General features: G+C 43.5%; 1 protein-coding gene across 16 annotated transcripts in view; it reads right to left on the minus strand.

Annotated features, from left to right (window-relative positions):
- Window positions 1–22,577, minus strand: part of ADGRG2 (adhesion G protein-coupled receptor G2) — a 133,650-nt gene that overhangs the window by 86,520 nt on the left and 24,553 nt on the right. For 14 of the 16 annotated variants that reach the window (XM_006724455.3, XM_047441758.1, NM_001184835.2 and 11 more), the window contains exon 2: window positions 6,876–6,920. Coding sequence is in view for 1 of the 16 variants with exons in the window: in XM_047441755.1 (XP_047297711.1) it covers window positions 6,876–6,988 (113 nt within the window). In the remaining 15 variants the exon portion in view is untranslated. Of the gene's footprint in view, window positions 1–6,875; window positions 7,167–17,326; window positions 17,345–22,577 lie in introns of those variants that run through there. The other 2 variants (XM_011545435.3, XM_047441755.1) reach the window with 2 other exon arrangements.

Consider the following 22,577-nt stretch of genomic DNA (forward strand, 5'->3'; position numbering starts at 1 on the left):
AGACAAACAGAAACTGTGATGTTGTTCCCTACCTGCAAATCATTACTGAAATCAATCCTAAAACATGTATTTAGGCAAAAGACATAAGAACTGAGATGAAAGGAGGAATGAGGAACAAAGAAAGTGGTGGGTTTGTGGCCAGGCCCATGGCTAACATTTCTAAGATACAGATCAAGAGTTTAAAAGAAGGCTTTGCCCTTATTCTTCCCCTAAGGCTTCATTCCAAGCTGTAAGAGGCTTTGTGCACACTCATGTGATCACCACAGCCTGCATACCCCTAACCCCCTCTCCTGCATGCATGTACCCCTTGGTCATCCCTTGGGTCTGGGGGTACGTACACCTGCAGCATGGCTTGCAATGAGGAAGGGGAGTGCCCAGGTCCTGGAAATTGGCACAGAATGTTTGGATTGGGAATTCCAGGGTCCCGGATTCCCAGAGTACGATCTAGAAGCAAGGGTGAGGGGAAGAGGGAGGTAGCTCCGGGTAGGCATGACTTCTTGGTGCCACAGACTTCTTGCCATTTGGAGAAGGGTGGAGCTAGAGAAGGGCCAGAGAGGGGACTCTAAATCACAAGTCACAGGCCAGAGGCCCCAGGTGCCCAGAACTAGGGGTAGTACTCTCTACTGGCAAATCCAAATGAACTTTTACTATATAAAACAGTGCCAGTCATGGTGGCTCACGCCTGTAATCCCAGCACTTTGGGAGGCCGAGATGGGCAGATCACTTGAGGTCAGGAGTTCAAGACCAGCCTGGCCAACATGGTGAAACCCCATCTTTACTAAAAATACAAAAATTAGCCAGATGTGGTGGCTGGCACCTGTAACCCTAGCTTCTTGGGAGGCTGAGGCAGGAGAATTGCTTGAACCCGGGAGGTGGAGGTTGCAGTGAGCCAAGATCGTGCCACTGGACTCCAGCCTGGGTGATAGAAGGAGACTGTGTCTTGAAACAAAACAAAACTACTATATAAAACAATAACATCTTGTAGGGATTAGTGAAACATGATAAAATAAAAACATATGGCAACTACCTCATATATATAAACATAGGAGACAATATATGCATTATATGTAATATAAGTAAGGAGATGACAAAATGAAATTCAAAAATTAAAGTCTTTCAAGGTCCTTGGATTATACTAGAGGAAGCTAAAGGTATTGATTATCTTTACACATTGAAAAGTTGAGTAGACATGTTGTAATTTCTACAACAGGTTGTAATATCTTTAGTAACTAAACAACAGAAATGGGACATATAACTTCCTAACTAGTGGAGGAGGAAAACAGTTTCTAACATATTCAGTCAGTCTGAAAAAAGGCAAGAAAGAGGAGAAACAGCAACAAAGAATGGTTAGGAAAAATAGAAAGTAATAAAGATTTAAAAACAAATGCAGGCCGGTGCAGTGGCTCACGCCTGTAATCCCAACACTTCGGGAGGCCGAAGCGGGTGGATCACCTGAGGTCAGGAATTTGAGACCAGCCTGATCAACATGATGAAACTCTGTCTCTACTAAAAAAAAAAAAAAAAAAAAAAAAAAAAATTAGCCAGGTATGGTGTCAGGTGCCTGTAATCCCAGGCTACTTGGGAGGCTGAGGCAGGAGAATCGCTAGAACCCAGGAGGCAGAGGTTGCAGTGAGCCGAGATTGCGCCACTACACTCCAGCCTGGGCAACAAGAGTGAAACTCTATTTCAAAAAAAAAAAAAAAAAAGCAGATCAATGATTCATGAAATATAAATGGACTCAATGATTCCATTAAAAGGCAAAGATTATCAGACTGAAAAAAATACAAACTCCAATTATATGCTATTTACAAGGACACAAATAGAACCTAATGATTCAGAAAGTTTGAAAGTAAAGAGATGGAAAAGATATGCTATGCCCACACTAATCAAAAGAAAATTAATGTGTTTATACTAATATCAGACAAATTATACTTTAAAGCAAAATACTTTACCTAGAAATAAAACCGTTCATTCATAAAAGATTCAATTCTGAATTGAAGACTGAAGAAATTTACATGTGAATGCAACTACTATAGCCTCAAAATACACCAAACAGCATTGACAGAATATAAGGAGAAATAGAACAAATCCACAATCATAATGAGAGATCTCTATCAGCAATTGGTAAAAATTAAATAAGAAAGTCATTAAGGATATAGAATATTTGAATCACACATTTAACCAACAACATGAGGACCATATCTAGAAGCCCCCATTCAACAACTGCAGCGCGCATAATCTTTTCAAGAGCACATGGAATGTCTGTGAAAACCATCCAGACCAACAGAAAAGTCTCAAAAGCTTTTTAAACAATTGGAAAACAGAAAAGCAGCATGTTCTTTGACCACAACACAATTAAGGTGTAATAACAAAAAGTTAGATGTGTTATTTAACAAATAACCCATGGGTCAAAGAAGTCACAATGTTTATTAGAAAATATTCGCCAGGCGTGGTGGCTCACACCTGTAATCCCAGCACTTTGGGAGGCCAAGGCAGAAGGGTTACCTGAGCCCAGGAGTTCGAGCCCAGCCTGGGCAACAAAGTGGGACCCCCCCTCCATCTCTACAAAAAAATAAAAAAATTAGCCGGGCATGGTGGTATGCGCCTATGGTCCCAGCTGCATGGGAGTCTGAGGCAAGAGGATCGCTTGAGGCAAGGAGGTAGAGGCTGTAGTGAACCATGATCACGCCAATGCACTGCAGCCTGGGCAACAGAGCAAGACCTTGTCTCAAAAACAAAAAAGATAAAAGAAAAAAGAAAATATTCGACTTGATCAATAAGAAAAACACTGTATATAAAACACATAGGATACAGCTAAAGATAGAGTGAAAATTATATTTTAAACATACAAATTAGAAAAAGAGAAAGGCTTAAAATTAATGAATTAAGGTTCTTAAGAAGTGTGAAAAAGTACAGCAAAATAAACCCAAAGAAGAAGAAGGAAGGTAATAAAAAAAAAAGCATATAATAAAAACAGAAAAAAGACATAAAGATTAACAAAGCCAACGTTGCTCTTTGAAAAGACAATTCTGGCAAAATCAAGAGACAGAGGGAGGGGAGGGAAAAAGGGGAGAAAAAGAGAGAGGCAGGGAGTGAGGAAGTAGCTAATAAGAGGTACGGAAAAAGCAACACACCTGTAAATGCTATAAACATAATAAATATAAAAGGCTCTTAGCAAAAACTGTCTTCAATAATTTTGAAACTCTAGATAGAAAGGGACAAATTTCTAGAAAAAAATACCAATTACCAAGAAGGAATCAAGTGGAAATGGTAAACATGAATAGTAGGTATAACCATTAAAAGTCTCAAAACTTGTCCCACAAAGAAAACTCCAGGCCCAGATGGCTTCACTGATGATTCTATCAAATATTTAAGGAATAAGAGTTTCAATCGCACAGAAACTCAAGAAAAAGAGCACATCTGAACTCACTTTTACAAGGCTATCATAACCCCGATGCCAAAACCAGACAAGGAAAGTCCTTAGATTTTTGCCCATTATATAAATCAAATGAGACTGTTTTCAGATTTCTCCAAAATGCTCACAGAAATGTCTAGAAGCAATTTCAAATCTTGTAAATTGAGGTAGTTTGAATAAATATTGGACAAAAGGAACTATTCTGAACTTCAGCAACAAAATTTTTTGAAGATAAGGTCACCAAGAACTAAAGCCAGTATTACCGTAGTAAGAGAAACAACATCCCATATGCCAAAAACAACCATGTCCTAAAGATGACAGAAACTAGGTTAACTGGTAAGTGCTGAATAGGAACTCTAAAACAGCAGCCTTGTATGTTGTTTGTCAGAGCACAAAGTAAAGCCAATGCTGAGCCATATGGCATCATTGCAGTGTGAAACTTACACATCTCTAGAATCAAATGGAAGGAAATGATTTGGTCTTTACAGTGCAAAAATGATTTTCTTAATAAGCGGTAAGTGCTTTCTGATGCAGAAAAAGGAAGCTTTATTCAATAAAACAAGTGAATCAATATCAGACGTGCAAGATTAGAACTAAATTGTGCGCTTAATGTAAACATACACTCACCAAACCTGGTGAGGGGTGTTCTGCTTTTTGTCTGGTTTGGTTTTTGTTTTTTTTTTTTTGAGACGGAGTTTTGCTCTTGTCACCCAGGCTGGAATGCAATGGCGTGATCTCGGCTCACCGCAACCTCCACCTCCCGGTTCAAGCAATTCTTCTGCCTCAGCCTCCTGAGTAGCTGGGATTACAGGCGCCTGCCACCACACCTGGCTAATTTTTGTATTTTTAGTAGAGACAGGGTTTCACCCAGTTGGCCAGGCTGGTCTCGAACTCCTGACCTCAGATGACCCACCCGCCTCGGCCTCCCAAAGTGCTGGGATTCTAGACGTGAGCCACCGCGCCCGGCTGAGGGGTGTTCTGTTTTTTGGCTCCCTTGCTCATCTCCAGATTTCTCCACTCTCTCATACCTGCGATCTACCATACTCTTGATTAGCCATGTGTGAATTATCCAACGCAAGGTGAAAGCCTACTTCATCTCTCTCCCCTCATTCTTCAGGGTCTGCCCCCAATGCTTGCAGTATGTTTAACACACAATAATGAGCAGAATAGCATAGGATTCGGGAGCATGCATGGTAGAGCCATCTGTCTGCCTTCACATCTAAGCTCCACCACTTATAGTGTAAACTTGGGCTGTTCCTTAACCTCTCTGGAGTTTAAATTCTTCATCTGAAGACGTGGAAGTAATGCTAAGACCTATTTCACAGGGTTCTGTGGGGATTAAATGAGGTAATGTAATGAAAGTCTTAGTGTAGTCAAGAAGTGTTAGCTATGATTACAAGCATAATTAGAAGACAAGTTTTTGGGTTTCTTTTATTGTTTTTTGGTTGTTGCTGTTGTTTGCTTGTTTTTTTGTGACAGGGTCTTGCTCTGTCACCCAGGCTGGAGTGCAGTGGTACAATCTCGGCTTGCTGCAACCTCCACCTCCCAGGCTCAAGCGATCCTCCTGCCTCAGGCTCCTGAGTAGCTGGGACTATAGGCACACGCCACCATACTCAGCTAAAGAAGATAAGTTTATAATACACTCCAGTACAAACTGTAAACAGATTTTGGAATTATTTCCAAAATAATTGACATTCATTCATCTAGTTGACGAATGTTTATTGAAGTTCTATTACAAGCAAGATTCTATGCCAGGGACTTGAGATACCACAAAAAACAAGGCAGATATCTTTCCTGCCCTCGATAGCTTAATAGCCACTACTCAGATTCATTGGTCATTGGCATGGCCAAATCAATAGTGATTTTTTTTAAAACAACAAACAAAAGATACTTTCTCTTCATGGTCCATCAGACTCGACTTTGCCTAAAAACAAAAACAAGGAAGCAGAACACAATAGCCTCTCCTATATAGGCTTGATCTCCACCTCACCCCCACACCCACAGCAGGCACTCGACAAAGATTTTTTCATTGATTTGGTCCAGAATCTACTGCTGCAAAATAATTCTATCAATATGTAGAGGAGAGAAATAAGAGGCTCTTCTTAAAAGCCTCCTGGGGCATTGATCTGCACTGCAGGGCTGGGGCAGGGATAGGGCAAAAGCACATGGTTGGCGGTCATCTAGGAAACCATGCTGGAGAGGAAGTGAGGGACTCAGGAAACCAACCCCGCCTCACCCACCAGGGCCCACCCCTCGCCAGGATTCTGTGCCCTTCCTTGGTTTTGTCATCACACCATGCCAATTCCTGCTTCAGGTCCCAGCTGGGCCATTTACTGGCTGTGTGACCCTGCTCAGCTGTTATAACCTTATTTATAGCAATAACTTACTAGTATCTATTATAATAACAATGTGTTATTTATCATGTAAGTTATAATGGGATCATTCTAATTTGTATTCATTATGATAGACATTTACATTGTTTACAAAATTTTGATAATTTATGTCAATGAATTCCCAGAAATACCACTATTTATGAGTCTCAAAAGAAATAGGCTGGGTACAGTGGCTCAGGCCTGTAATCCCAGCACTTTGGGAGGCTGAAGCAGGAGGATGGATTGAGGCCAGGAGTTTGAGACCCGTCTGGCAGCATAGGGAGATCCCGTCTCTACAAAAAATAAAAAATTAGCCAGGCATGGTTGCATGCACCTGTGGTCCCAGTTACTCAGGAGGCTGAGGTGGGAGGATCACTTGAGCCTGGGAGGTCAAAACTGCAGTGAGCTGTGACTGCGCCACTGCGCTCCTACCTGGGTGACAGAGGGAGACCCTGTCTCAAAAAAAAAAAAAAAAAAAAAAAAAGAAAAGAAAGAAAGAAAGAAAAGAAAAGAAAAAAGAAAGAAATAGGAAGCGTGAAAGTAGCGGCTTCAGAATTTCTATCTAGAAGAGGGTCATGGGCAGAAATCTGGTTGGAAGGATCCTTTGACAGCTGCATTTGCACAGCACTTAGGTCAGAGAGAGAACAAACACTTCCTTGGTCCATTACAAAACATGACAAAAGCTGTTAGAGCCAAGGGACACACGTCCAGGGAGCAGGAAAGGGGAAAACAGTGAAACAGAATCCCAAATAATTCCACGTAAATGATCATTCTCTTTCCCCAGCTTTGACCGCACCATGTAACTTCAAAATCGGTACCCATTTCTGAACGCCCATTCAAAAGCAATTGGGTTAGCAAGAAGAAACAGGTCAACAATAGAATCCCCAAGGAAAAGAAAGTATCTGAAGAAAAGAGAGCTCCAAGTGGGAGTGAGGAGTTAAAAACAAAACAAAACAAACAAAAAAGAATAAAGTTGGTATGGGGATGGGAATTTGCAATGAAGGAGGGAAAATAGGAAAGAAAAAAAAACCCAAGCTAACATGTTCCTCATTTCTACAACATTATCTCATAGAAATAGCATTACTCACCTGACCGCGAGTTCAGAAAACAAAGTGGAGAACCTCTGTGCACACCTGAAAATGAAAAATAAAAAATAAAAAGCAAAATTAGACCAATGGAAAGTGGACTTTCTTGACAGCATAATACTTCAATACTGCAGTGAGCTCATCAGCCGACGCCCCCTGGGCTCCCTACTGCACGTCACAGCTTGAACTTGGCAGTGGAGTTACAGAAAAAATGGATGTAAACCCTGCTGCTGAGGAACTTATATATAAACTGGAAGCACAAGCCCAAAGCCAGTTTGGGGACTGATCTTGTTAATGTGTTTTGTTTTGTTTTGTTTTGTTTTGAGACGGAGTCTCACTCTGTCACCCAGGCTGGAGTGCAGTGGCATGATCTCGGCTCACTGCAGCCTCTACCTCCCAGGTTCAAGCAATTCTCTGGCCTCAGCCTCCTGAGCAGCTGGTATTACAGGCACACGCTACCACACCCGGCTAATTTTTTTTTTTTTTTTTTTTTGTATTTTCAGTAGAGACAGGGTTTCACCATGTTGGCCAGGCTGGTCTCAAACTCCTGACTTCAGGTGATCTGCCCACCTCAGCCTCCCAAAGTGCTGGGATTATAGGTGTGAGCCACCACACCCAGCCTTGTTAATGTTTTTGTGGCATGAATTACTGTTCAGTTGAAGACTTCATTAACAACATCATAGGGCACTGGACAACGAAGTGATTGGACCAGACCTGGGGTGGGGTGGTCCCTTCTAGAGACCCTGCTTGGTTAGACATTTCTTCATGTGTTTGTGACTTCACTTCCCTAGAACCTAAACTCCTTGATATCAAGGATTGGGGCATTTAGGTCTCTTGTGCCAGAGGCAGAATTGTTTCTCCACTAAAGGGCTAACTCTTGGTTAATTACTAAGTTTGGCTCAGAGTTGAAAGGGGAACATGGGGGTATTTGCAATGATATGAGGGAAAACTCAGATGCACGCTGGGGAAAGAATGGGGTATCCACCCAAGGCAGAGAGCATTGCTGACGACCTGACTTGTATCTTTTAGAATATTCCAACATGCCTTACTTCTGAACCAAAACATTGGTCCAGCTATTAGCTTGAAGATGACAGTCACTTCACGTAATGGCATCTTCTCATGTGAAATAGGACATAATGACTTTCAAATGAAGATCTGTGATAAGAAACGATCTCTAAGGTCATCCTGGAACCAACTGACCTACTGACAGACTGTTATAATAGCAGTTCAGTGCCCAGCAATCCCATTACTGGGTATATACCCAAAGGAATAGAAATCATTTTATTATAAAGATACATGCACACATATGTTCATTGCAGCACTATTCACAATAGCAAAGACATGGAATCAACCTAAATGCCCATCAATGATAGACTGGATAAAGAAAATGTGGCACATATACACCATGGAAGACTATGCAGCCATAAAAAGGAATGAGATCATGTCCTTTGCAGGGACATGGATGGAGCTGGAAGCCATTATCTTCAGCAAACTAATGCAGGAACAGAAAACCAAACACCACATATTCTCACTTATAAGTGGAAGGTGACACACTTATAAGTGTGTCCATGTGAACACACAGACACATGGAGGGGAACAACATACACTGGGGCCTGTCGGGGAGGGGGTGGGTAGAGAATCAGGAAGAATAGCTAATGCATGCTGGGCTTAATACCTAGGTGATGGGTTGATAGGTATAGCAAATCACCATGGCACACATTTACCTGTGTAACAAACCTGCACATCCTGCACATGTACCCCAGAACTTGAAATAAAAGACAAAAATGAAGGCCAACCATGTTGTCCTGTCCTACGATGAACAATTGCGAACACATGTCCCAATGCTGAATGTGGACTAAATGTAGGATTAACAACTGAAAAACATTTCAATAATCAAAGAAAGAAAGAAATCTATTGTGACTTGAGTATCGAAAGAAGTTCATTTAACATTTGTGAAAATGAGAATTTTCCACATAGGGATTTCTGATATTTTGATGAAATTTCCCAACCCAAGCACACTACCTCTTCCAAAACCTTACTGATGACCATAATAAAGCACACTTAATGGTTCTTGGGAATCCAGTTTATTAATGAACAACAGGAGGCTCTGTTCGCTCCCTTGGAATACTTACAGGTAGAAAAGTAGGGCAAGCAACATGACATTTGTTTTTCCCAGTGGATGAAAAAATTGAAAAGCCTAGTAATATCCAAAGCTGGAGAGCATGTGGGGAAATAAACACCTGCATACACCATTGGTGGAAACATAAACTTTGAGAGAGTAATTTAGCTATGTTTTAAAATTTTAAATGTGCATGCTTTTTGATACAGAAATTTGAATTCCAGAGATTGTCCCCACAGAAATACTGACCCATAGATACAAAAATATACACACAAATACTGTCATTGCAGCTGTGTGTGTGGTGGGGGGAGCCTAAGTTTCCATTAGTAGATGAAGAGTTAAACAATGGCACATCTGTGTTTTGGAATATTATGCAACACTTAAAAGTGAAGTTCATTTAGGTGTATTAACATACAGAGACTGTCAATGCATATAAGGCAAGAGAAAAAACCAAGTTTCTGAATAATATATATACGAGGACTTGTTAAGATGCAATCAAAGTTATATGTGTATGCTTATTTTTTAATTAGAAATGGGGTCTTGCCTTGTCGCCCAGGCTGAAGTGCAGTGGCTCGATCACAGCTCACTGCAGCCTCCCACTCCTGGGTTCAAGTGATCCTCCCACCTCAGTCTCCTGGGTAGCTAAGACTACAGTCACGTGCAACCATGCTCGGCTAATTTGTTAGTTTTTTGTAGAGATGGGGTCTCACCATGTTGCCCAGGCTGGTCTCAAACTCCTGGACTCAAGCAATCCTCCCGCCTTGACCACCCAAAGTGCTGAGATTACATATGTGAGCCACTGCACATGGCCTATCCTTATTAATACAGTGACAAGGGTGGATGCATACAAAATAGCCTGGAAGGAAACCCACCAGTAACCCAGGAGTGTGATGAGGGAAAGGATGAAGCCAAATTGCTACTCCATAGACCACAGGCATGTCTTTACATAGTACTTACACAATTAAGTAGATTTCTTCTAGTGAAGAAAAGCAGAAGGAGGGCTGAACAGAGCTCCTCCATCAAGCTCAGTGGGTGGGGAATGGGACGGAAAGCCATCACTTGCTCAGCTCAACGTCATCTCCCCTTCGCCTGCTCTACCTCAGTTAGAAAGGCCCAACTGGGAACACAAAGACTTCTGGTTTCAGGGCCAAGAAACCAGCTTCCCAGCCAGGGAGCAGGAACTCACTTCAGCAAGTTGTGGAAAATAATGGCAAAAGCAATGATGCAAAAATGCCTGATGAATACCAAGGCCTCAACTTCATTAAAGAAAGGCCCATCCTTCAGTCCACAGATCCCTCCTTGCCCCTGTGGCCACCACACACCCACCAGCCTTTATCTCCTAGAGAAGCGGAACAGGAATGAGGATCTGATGAGCACCAGCGCTTCAGTGACAAAACATAGTGACTACCAATGTTTGGGGTTCTTACATCATTGAAGGGAAAGGGCAAGTCACAAAAGGAACCATATCAACTTATGTAAGACATGGCACGGAACAGAGAAATTTCGCAGAGAAGAACAGCAAACTCACCACTTGCTAGGATTCATGAAACCTCCCACAGTTGCAGATTGCCCCAAACCATGACATCAGGGAGGCTGGGAAGCCACCCAACTTCCTCTATTTATCAAGCTGGCTAAAACCCAGGGTAATACCAGCGTGACCCAAAAAAATAAATTTTAAAAAAGGCAGGCAGACTTTACAAGTGGTTTGGGTGGGAAGGAAATGACCTCCGGGTGTACTTAAGAGCCCTGCTCCAGTTCAGGGCCGCTCACAGGGAGGCTGCGTCCAAGAGTCAGAACTCCCATCCTGGGCACCTGGCCACAGCACCCACACATCCTAGGGATAATCTGCAACCCACTTGGGAAGGAGCACAGGTAACAGCAGCCCCAGGCAGTTGTCCCACTGCCCTCCAAGGAAGGACCAACCAAAAAAACCAAAACCAACCAAAACAGAACCATGACATACAGCATCCTGGAGGGCTCAGCACTTCATTAGGAACCTAATGATTCATTAGTGACCTAGACCGACAGGCACAGACTGGCTCGAAGTTCCTGGCAATGACACTGACACCGACACCATGGAAGAAATGACCAGAGGACAAAGAGGTCTTGATACATCGGGATGGGGCCAGAGAGAAGGAAAGAGGAGTTTCTTCACACTGGGAGGAAAAACAAATTGCCCAAATGGAGATGATGGGGAAGGCAAAGTTATATGCAGGAGAAGGTTGGGCATATGCACATTCTTGGTCTTAGAGTGGTAGGTATTGCCATCGAGGAACAAACAAGAGTGGTTCTAGAACCTTGTGGTGGCCCCAGTACTGATCAGACCCTGCCTAATAGGACCCTGACCTTCACAGACTGGTTTGTTCAGTTCTGAATGCCACCACTCAAGAGGAGTTAAATTGTGAGATGGTTCTGGAAAACTAAAGATCATTCATTCAACAAACATTTAACTGGGTGCCTACTATGTGCCAAAAAACAAGGCTGCTCTGTACGGTTGTGCAGGTTGTGCCCTGCACAAAGGCTCACGGCCAAGGGCACCAGCGAGCCTGAATCCAGAATGCCAGGCTTTGGCATCAGCTGTGGGCAGTAATGGGAGCACCGAGGAAGGACACCTAACCCAGTGTGGGGAAATGGATCCAGGAAAATCTCATCTAGGAAGTAATCATCAGGCTGCAGCTTAAAGGGTGCAACTCCCTTTATATGAAGACATGGGCGAGAGCATTCCAAAGAGAGGAAATGGCTGAAACCAAGGCACAGCCAAAGAGTTTAAAGTGGAAAGACAGTGTCCTGGTGTCCATCCTTGTTAAATTGTACAAGTGACTAACAGAGCTTTCGGAATTGCTTTGTAAAACATCTCAAAAGATGACCCCTGGTCATCAGTCTGGAGGGGCTGCATGCTGAGGTGGAAGGAAGCAGCCAGGAGAAGTCGTCAGTGGGCCTCTTGCAGCCGTTGCTACCATGCTTTATTTTCCTGCAGCACGAGAAGCTTTCTTTTCTCTCTTCCCTTCCCTCCAGTCTTCTCTCCCTCTTTTCTCTTCTACTCTCTTTCACCCTACAGTGTCCCCGTTTTCCTTCCCTTCCCTTCCCTAGCTTAAGGCTTGCCACGTGTATTCCGGGGGCTAGAATGTTGCTGGTCACCTCTGCCCAGAGCTGGAGAAGAGAGTATCAAAGACCACATGGTGAGAGCCTCACCTTCAAATGACTCCCAGACCTCCAGTCCCAGTGGTCTGGGTGAGGCAACCACCAACTCTCTACCCAAGATGACAGAACTAAGGCATTCCAAAACAGGACATAACCTTCCTTAGACTATAAACAATTCTCACTTTCACAAATGCATAGGCAAGAATTTACCAATTCTTTTACAAAAACATTAATTTACTATTTCACAAAAAGAACACTTATATACTTGATTTTTTAAATGCAAGTCTGACATTAAGCTATATTCACACAAAGTTCACCAGAGTGAGCTTTCTTCCATTAATATGAAAACACTTCACAGGATAATTGAATTTGGATCATCACAACTTAAATCAATCTCAATTAAGATGACTAACATTTTCTAATTAACTCAACTTCTCTTTCCACTGGGTAGCAACAAACACTGGCCATTTCCCTCTGTTTAAACTATGTTTTGATATTTTCTTTTGATATTTTCTTTTCTTTTTTGTTTTTTGTTTGTTTATTTGTTTTTTCTTTGAGACTGGGTCTCCTCTGTTGCTCAGGCTGAAGTGCAGTGGCGCAATTACTGCAGACTCAATATCCCAGGCTCAAGTGATGCTGTCACCTCAGCCTCCTGAGTAGCTGGGACTACAGACACATGCCACCACACCCAGCTACTTGATGGGTTTCACTATGTTGCCCAGGCTGGTCTCCAACTCCTGGGGTCAAGCAATCCTTCTGCCTCTGCCTCCCAAAGTCCTGAGATTACAGGTGTGAGCCACCACACCTGGCCTGATATTGTATTTTCAATGATGAGAGAAAATACGACCAAAAGCTACACAGATAAGGAAAGAGCAATTGTTCATGTAGGATGGGTCTCACCAAGTAGTAAGAAAACCACACACATAAATGTTTCCTTTGTTTAGTAAGCCTTTGTTGTATATTGGACACTTGGGCTACAAATTAAGGCTGGTGCATTAAAATTTTCCTGTTTCCATATATATCTGCCACGTGAGATGTACTAAACCTTAACTCCAGGAAATAAAAGATGAGGAAACCCTTGCCCATAAAGTTGTTATTATTCTCACTGGAAATGATTAAGAAGTTACATTATTATCTAGCCCTATTTGACAGAAAAACTGTGGAAGATAGGAATTTAGTGATTTATTAATAACATTTTAAAAATTCAATATGAAGACCTCAAACTCCACCTCAAAATTGCTGTATCTCTGCCAACTTTGCCAGCAAGAGAAGTTTCTAGCCCCTCCCTTTTGTGGCTGATTGCAAAGCTACTCATAAACTCTTCCTAGGGTGGAGGGTGGGAGGAGGGAGAGGATCAGGAAAAATAACTAGTGGGTTCTAGGCTTAATACCTGGGTGATGAAATAATATGCACAACAAACCCCCATGACACAAGTTTACCCATATAACAAACCTGCACATGTATACTTGAACTTAAAATAAAAGTTAAATAAAAATAAAATAAAAACCAAACTTTTCCTATTCTAGTTTGCCTATCTATTTTGCCTATCCAAAATTACATTGCAAAATCCATGCAATGTGATTTTGTTGCTCTACCCCTTGAATGCTCCACCCCTTGAATGCAGCAAATGTGATACAACCAAAAGTGTGAAAAGTGCTTGAGCATGGAATTTGCTCTCTCTTGCTGCTCTTTAAGGCTCAAGCCACCATGTAAGAGTGGAAACCAGCCTGAGCTAGTTGGCCAGATGATGAAAGACCCACGCCTGGTCAGGCATTGCTCCAACCAAGAGCTGGCCAACCCCCAGGCAAAGGGTCATCTGGTAGACTGGCAGGTGACAACAGATGCATGAGTGAGCCCAACCGAGACCAGCAGAAGAACCATCTTGCTGAGCCCTGCCAAGACTGTGGACTCAAAAAATGTGAACTAATTAAATGGTTGTTGCTTTAAGCTGCTAAATTTTGGGCTGTTTTGTTATGTGGAAAAAACTAACTTATACACCTTCTTTCTTCCCTTCCTCTTTACCCTTTCTTCCTTTCATTATTTCTCTCCACTCATCTTCCTTTCTTCTTTTCCTTCTGTAAGTACTACAAGTACCAATTTAAGGGAAGGGCCCATTATGTATAAAATGCTGGCCTGGGCTGATTCTAATTCAAAGCCTGCCTCATTTTCTTTTATACACTCCCTCTATACACTCCCTCTGGAACCCACATAAGCAGATTCTGCAGACCTTGCATGGTCCATGGGCCCTACTCATAAAGAGATGAACCAAGATGTTTCTGGGGACACTGGGCAGAGTTTGCAGCCCGTTTCTGGGCATTTGCTCATGATAATCTCCCTGAAAGAAATATTTGTCACTGTGACCTGTTAAGTGTGTTCTAGCCCTCCCTTCTACCCATTGCTCCTAGCCAGCAGAGAGGAGAAGAAAATGGGCCTTCGAGCCAGATGCCCAAGGGTTAAGAGGCATGGTTTAAGACCCCCTCCCTCACGTGGCTGCGCAGGCTAAGAAAGAAGAAAATATATTTATAACTACAGGAAACAATGTACTGTGAGTGGTAAAATGCTTAAATTTCCATTTGTTTACTATACAAATAAGAGAAAATCAATACGTTCATCTTGCTAATGACATCAAGCCACTCAGTACAACTCAGAAGCCAGAAGGTCATTTCTTAAAATGCTTGTCTTTCCTCTTCCACATTTCTAATTTATTCTTTATTCTCACTCTAACTTATTTTTTTCTCCTGAATGATGTATTTTTTTTTTGCACTTTTTAAAAGTTGATTTTTCCTTAGTGTCCCAGAACCTATTTGTTTGTGGTTATGATGTTAATGTTTAGAAAGGTCAAATTAGATGTTGAGGTTGGGTAAGTGTTCATATTCTAATGGGGAAACAGAGATATGATACAAAAATTCACACCAAGAAGTGCGATATTGCGATTACAGCAAGTGCCACAAAGCAATGCAACAGGAGCTCTGGGTGAAGACAGGGGGATCTGACCTAAGGGACTGGGGAAGGCTTCCCTGTGGAAGTGATGCTGAAACTGGAAGGGTGAGAGGAACTTGCCCACCAAAGAGGCAAGGAAAGACCGTATCAAGTAGAGGAAGTAATATGTGCAAAGGCACTGTGGCAAGAGGGAATGTCACTCATGTAAGGAACTGAAGAAAGGTAGGAGTGGACAGGACATGCCGTGGCAAGGAGAGGACAGTGAAAGATGAGGCTGGAGAGACAGAAAAGGCTCAGCTCCCAAGGGGGCTTGGTGGCCAAGGTAAGGATTTGCACCCTTGCTTTGAGAGCCATGGAAAGTCACTGAAGGATTTTAAACAGTGGGCAGCGTGTTCAGATTCACATTTTGACAAGATTGTTCTAGCAATTTTTGCATGGAAAATGAATAGGAGGGGGTCTTAGTGGAAGTGGGGGTCCAGTTTGGAATTTTAGCTCTCCATTCTCAAACATTGTTCTGAAGGTCTGAGCAATTCAGTAAAACAAAAATACAAAGTAAGAGTTAGAATCAAGAAATGGAGACTACAGATTTTATGTCACACACACACACACACACACACACACACACACACACACACACACGAAAATCTATTAAAATGTAATGGGTATTAGAGTTCAGAAAAGAAGAGTCAGAATAATTATACAAATGATTTTCCTCTACACCAGGGGCCTGCAGATCTTTTCTGCAAGGGTAAGATAGTAAATATTTCCAGCTTTGCAGGCTGCAGGATTTCTGTTGCAATTACTCAACTCTGCCATTACAGCACAAAAACAGCCACAGGCAATCTGTAAATGAATGAGTGTGGCTGTGTGCTAATAAAGCTTTATTTATAAACACAGGCAGCTTGTGGGATTTGGCCTGTGGGCGCTAGTTTGCCCTGCTCTCTACCAACGAGGAAGTAATTACGGTATTCGAGGTGAGAAACAAGGCTGGATGAAGATGGTGGTGGTGGTGATGAATGATGGACATACTGAGCAGTATTTGGGAGGAAGAATTGACGCGACTTGGGTCTGGGTTGGATATAAAGAGTGAAAGAGTGGCAGGCACTGCCTAGAGTTCAGCTAAGGCAAGTGAGGATCAAACGCAGTGAAGCAGCTGCATGTGAACTAGAATCCAGGTCATCTGACAACTTGTCCACCCCTTGGGTCTGGTGTGCCTTCCCACCACAGCCACCGGCCCTCTGCCAGCCCAATCCACAGCCTTTGATCCCAGCCCTTGCAGCATCCCAGCATCCCACTGCTGCTAGGTTACAAGTGTATGGGATGCTTTCTCGAAATGCTTTTGGCCTTCATAGTCACATACAATTTCTACAGAGTTAACAACACCTTCCAGCTTTTTCCCTCACATCAGTTCCCCTGCAACAACTTGAAAATAAGTCAGGTATCAATGACAACAAATTAGCAGAGTAGACAGTCAATGCCTAACTTGATGGGGGCGAGAATAAAATTGGGGGAGGGGGTGAAATTAACCAGACAGAGCAGCTTTAGAAAGATGAGCTTGGAGTCAGGTGTCTGGAGAGGATGAGGAGCAGGGTCAAAGGCAGGAGGGGGAGAGGAAACCCAAACGGGCAGGTGCGAGGACAGTAACTTCCCAAGCTGCAGGGGAAGGCCATAGCCTGGCCCAGCAAGAGAGGGAAAGCAGTCCTGCAGCTCCAAGTGGGGTATGCACAGTCCCTTTTTACCTGCTCTTACCCTCCAGCCTCACCCTCCTCACCCAGCATCTTAAAATTCAGTCCTTGCCTCTGTCTGCAGCAACTGCACAAACCCATCCTGAACCAGGACCTAGTCCAGGAGTTGTCTGGCGAGATGGAGGAGGACCTTCACGTTGACTTGTGTCTTAGAGCCTTCAGTTGCACTTGTTCTGTGAAGGCTAACAGGCAATTAACAACCAAGACCACAGATGACAAAACGGCACTTTGTATTCCCCTCCTCACTCCCTGCAAAGAAAGGCAGGATCAAGGAGAATATAAATTACAGAAGGAGATCAGGACCAAGGAGGGAAACTGGGAAGTTAGGAAGTAGGTAAGTAGGTCACAAGGCCTTCACCTTTATATTAACAAACTACAAACATGGCTCTTTGGTGCCCAAATAGAAAAGGGGATCGTGTTTTATTCTGAAATCTCATCCATGAACAAGAGAAAACATGACAATCCTTAGAGAAGGCCAAGCTTTTCCTCTTAGCTAGTCCTCAACTAACCTGCTCAGGGTTTGGCCACACTCAGCACCTCCACTTCCTCTTCCCAGCGTCTCCTGAACTGATTTCAATCGGGCTTTTGTGTTATTCTTATCAAGGTCATAACTTCCACCTTGGCACAATTCTCAGATCTCAGGTTACTCCTCCTCTCAGCAGTCTTGAATGGTAGATCCCACAGTCTGCAGGAAGTTGTGGCCCTTGACTGAGCCCCTCTTCTAAATGGAGGCCAGTCTGTGTGCACAAGGAGAGGATAAAGGGGAACGTTCTGAGAAGGCAAGAAACTCACATGTTCACTCCTATGCGTGGATGAACAGTGGGAGAAAACGTGCTCATGGTCATAAGAACACTGCTTTGAGGACACAAAGATGGGAGTGACTGATTCTATCTTTTGTGTGTTTGGGGAGATGGCGGGCAGGGAGCATGTAAACATGTTCTATACCAGAGAATCTGAAGATGACGGTGACCTAGAGTCTATTAAGACTTCACTAGAGTAGGACTCCTCCTCCACCCCAAAAGTTGTTTTTAATTTTTGACTAGTATCTAAGAGACCACCTCTCAAGGCTTGTTTCTGTTTTTGTTTGGTTGTTTTTTTGGTAAGGGCTTGCACCCAATAAAACATGCAAATTTCAATGACTGTGGTCACTAATGGGCACGTGTGACTTAATTTATCAAGTCAGACTATTCACAATAGCAAAGATATGGAATCAACCTAAGTGTCTATCAATGGTGGACATAAATGTGGTATGTAGGTATACACACACACACACACACACACACACACACACACACCCCATGGAATACTACCCAGCCATGAAAAAGAATGAAATCATGTCCTTTGCAGCAACATGGATGAAACTGGAGGCCATTATCTTAACTCAGAAACAGAAAGCCAAATACTGCATGTTCTTACTTATAATTGGGAGGTAAATAATGTGACATGGACATAGAGTATGGATAGATCAACATAGAGTGTGGATAGATGGATATAGAGTATGGATAGACATAGAGTATGGATAGATGGACACAGAGTATGGATAGATGGACATACAGTATGGATAGAAAGCAGGGAGGGTGAGAGGTAGGTGAGGGGTGAGAAATTACCTAACGGCTATAATGTACACTATCCTGGTGATGGTTACACTCAAAGCCCAGACTTCACCAATACACAATACCTTCATGTAACAAAGCTGCAATTGTACCTCCTAAATCTATTTTTTTTTTAATGATCAGGTCAGTTTGGGTGGTGAACAGGGATACAGCAGGCCTCAGTGACCAGGCAGAGCCCAGTGAGGTCAGGCATGGACAACGCACGCACATTGGGATGGGAAGGCCTGCTGTTAACTGGGAGAGAGAGGAGGAGGAGGTATGGGGATGACTCCCAAGGAAGGGCTTTGCCTACCTTGATGGGTTTGCTGGGCTGCGCCTCAGAAACTGGAAGTCAGTGCCATTCCCATCAGTGTTCCTACTGCCAGGAAAGTCTTGCAGTGGCTGGCTGGCCTTCCTGTTCGACTTTCTTTCCTTGCTCATCAAAACACTTTCTCTCCCAGCATCAACTCTACCTGCTCCTTCTGCTTACCACGCATTCCAGTGACTCTGCCCGGTTCCACCGGAAGCGGAGTTATTTTGGAAGGCTGGATGGTGTACGGTAGGGTGGAGGGAGCCAGAACGGGAAGCCTTGGATGGTGGAAACTCCTCTATCACCAGGGAACTTGGCTGCAGCCCCAAGCCCTGGCCTCCCACCAGAGCGGGGCCGTCCACTTTCTCCTTCTTTTTTTAGTACTATCCTCTCTGACCCGCCCAGGGCTGGGATGTTGCAGTGTGTTTTTCCAAGAGACCCGGCAAACAGCAACTTGACAGGTTCAACGGTTCCCATTGACAGCCTGAATGGACTCCTCTGAAAACTACGAAACTGGACACAAAAACAGCCCATAAAAATCCTGCCTCCCGCAGGCGTCTGGACGCTGCCTTTTCCCAAATGACCCTCCAGCAGCACGGATGCTGCATGGGTGGCTAAGCAGCATTTTTTGAGTGATTTTCCCAAAACTGGGGTGTTCCAAGTGGTGTGGGAGTATTATTTTTTCCCTTGCAGTAAGAGACTAACTCACCAGATAATTTGAGAAAACGGGAGACTACATGAGTCATGTTACTCCCAAAGCTAATCACTTGCCACTGTACCCCAAAGCCTCCATGAACCATGAGGTGCCCCGGGCCTGCCTGTTATGAGGTCTGGAACTCACTTTAATATACCGCAGGGAAGGCAGTGTGATGTTTGTGTGTGCCGGTGAGTTTAAGCTTGAACTCGATGAGTGCTCTGCAAACTTTATAGCACAAAGGCCACTCTCTCAAGGCAGCTCCTACACGTCCTTCTGCCATTGTGACCTTGACCTACAATCCACACTTCGCTAATCAGCATATCAAATGCCAAAAGCATTTTATTAGTGAAACTGGTAACTTGTTAATTAGAATGATAAATAGAATGCTGAGGAAAAAGTAAACATCAATTCTCTCATCCAAAATAAAGTAATCACATAATCTAGTCTCGGGGACAGCTGAAAAATTTTATAGTAAAAACAGTGCCGGGGAGCCAGGCGCAATGGCTCACACCTGTTATCCCAGCACTTTGGGAGGCCAAGGTGGGAGGATCACTCGAGTCCAGGAGTTGGAGTCCAGCCTGGGCAACATAGTGAGACCCTCCCCCATCTCAATAAAAAATACAGAAATTAGCTGGGTGTGGGGGCATGTGCCAGTAGCCCCAGCTACTTGGGAGGCTGAGATGGGAGGATTGCTTGAGTCCAGGAGGTTGAGGCTGCAGTGAACAAAGACTGTGCCACTGCACTCCAGCCTGGGCAACAGAGGGAGCCCTTGTCTCAAAAAATTAAATTAAAAAAATTTTTAAAGTGCAGTGTACATATAAAATGGAATATTTTAATCATCTCCCAGGTTCTCATTGGAAAGGCAGGGTTAAAAGGAAATGGACCAGGCCAGGTGCGGTGGCTCACGCCTGTAATCCCAACACTTTGGGAGGCTGAGTCAGGCGGATCACCTGAGGTCAGGAGTTTGAGACCAGCCTGGCCAACATGGTGAAACCCTGTCTCTACCAAAAATAAAAAAATTAGCCAGGCATGGTAGCATGTGCCTGTAATCCCAGGTACTTGAGAGGCTGAGGCAGGGAGAATTGCTTGAACCCAGGAGGTGGAGGCTGCAGTGAGCCAAGATTGCGCCACTGTACTCCAGCCTGGGTGACAGAGCGAGACTCTATCTAAAAAAAAAAAAAAAAAAAATCAGTATTGCAGTTAGCAATAGGTTGAAAACTACCATTTGATAGAAAAATGATTCTGCCTGGATAAAAATGTAATGTGCTCATGCAAGTAAGAACAAGTGTACAATATCTCAAAAGATCTTTTAAAACTCCCTTGCCATAAATATTACAAGCTGCTTTTGGTTATCCTATAGTACTAATGCCACATTATTGACAACATTGTCAAAGCCTTTTCACTATTACAGAAAAAAGGGAGGTGTAGGGAGGTGGTGAGGTATTTTCAGTGAGTCATGATGATAACAGCCAGTGTTTAATTGTAGCCTATCACAAGTCATGGGATAAAGTAGTTGCTGATATTTACTGCCTCCATACCTGGGATTCTTTACCCATCAAATGGGGATAAACTTCTTATTTATGTCCTAAAATTCTTATGAGTAATGAGTCAGTCAGTACAGGGAAAGTGCTTAGCAGACTTTGGCTTAGAGCACATGCTCAAAAATATTAGCTGTGAGTGTTAGTGCCATCGTTAACTGCTTCCGGGCACCAGGCACTCTGCAAATTGCTCCACATACATCTCTGTGGCTGACACTTCATGTGCTTTTCTAGAAGAGAAGAGGTCTGGCATGGGCCTGCTGCCCTTCCTGCATGTTTTCCTCCTTGGCCATGCCACTCCACCCAGCCCCTCTCTGCCTCCCCTCCTTATGCTCTTCTTTCCGCTCCCACTTGATCACAGCTGTCCCAGGAATGGAGCTAATATCACACCTGACCTCTTCGTGTGAAGGTCCTATTGAGCTTCCTCTCTCAAAAGGTATCTCTTCTTTGGCCAGGCGTTGTGGCTTACGCCTGTAATCTCAGCACTTTGGGAGGCCAAGGCGGGTGGATCACTTGAGGTCAGGAGTTCGAGACCAGCCTGGCCAACATGGCAAAACCCCATCTCTACTAAAATACAAAAATTAGCCAGGCGTGGTAGCAGGTGCCTGTAATCCCAGCTACTGGGGAGGCTGAGGCAGGAGAATCGCTTCAATCCGGGAGGTGGAGGTTGAAGTGAACCGAGATAGCGCCACTGCACTTTAGCCTGAGCAACAGGGTGAGACTCCGTCTCAAAAAAAACAAAGGCATCTGTTCTTTAAACCAACTCGGAGGACTGAATTAATGACTTATCCTTTGTTACAGGAATCCGGGGCCTGGGGGAGAAAGTGTGAATGCTATTTGAGGGACCAAGACCACATTTTGGAGGTTCATTCTCTCGCAGCTGAGGACCTTATACTGGGTCATCTCCTCCCCACCCCGGCCCCGGTGGCAGGACACCCTCACTGCATCGAGGGTGAGCGTACTCTGCTGTGCTCAGGCACCTTCCCATTCAACAAATATTTATTAAGTAAATACCATGTGCTAGGCACTACGGGAGGTGCTAGGAGTGCAGTGGTGAACAAGACACACACAACTGTGCCCTTTTGGGTTGTACGTGCCAGTGCGGCATTCAAACAAATAAAAACGCAAATGGATCAATCTGTGAAACACTGACAGTTTTAAAGAGAGCTATAAAGCAAACACATAAGAAGATGAATTATATCAATGATGCAAAAAGCAACTTGCTCAATATTACAAAGAAAGTTAGCAATTCAAAGGAATGTCACACATGATAATTTCTATTAAGATGCTCATTTTGGCAGGCGCCAGGCCAATGCTTTGCCACCGTGCCAGAAAGCTAACTGCAAGTGAGGGAACATGCCTTTTCACTCAATTTCTCTTCTATGTTTTTTTTTTCCTTTACTTCTAGAGATGGGACTAGGCTAGACCAGTGTGTTTATATTTCCTCCTAGGCCAGCTTCAGATGAAAATGTGTAGGAAAAATCTCCTTTTAAAGGAATCAAAATAATACTTAGAGAACATAGTAAACTGTCATTTGCTTGTAAGCTGTTTAGCTAAAGTTATATGGTTAGATTAGAAAATGTACTCCCTCTAGAGGTGGGGTAAAATTGCTGTATTCTTGAT

This window comes from Homo sapiens, chromosome X, assembly GCF_000001405.40.
Source record: "Homo sapiens chromosome X, GRCh38.p14 Primary Assembly".
NCBI lineage: Eukaryota > Metazoa > Chordata > Mammalia > Primates > Hominidae > Homo > Homo sapiens.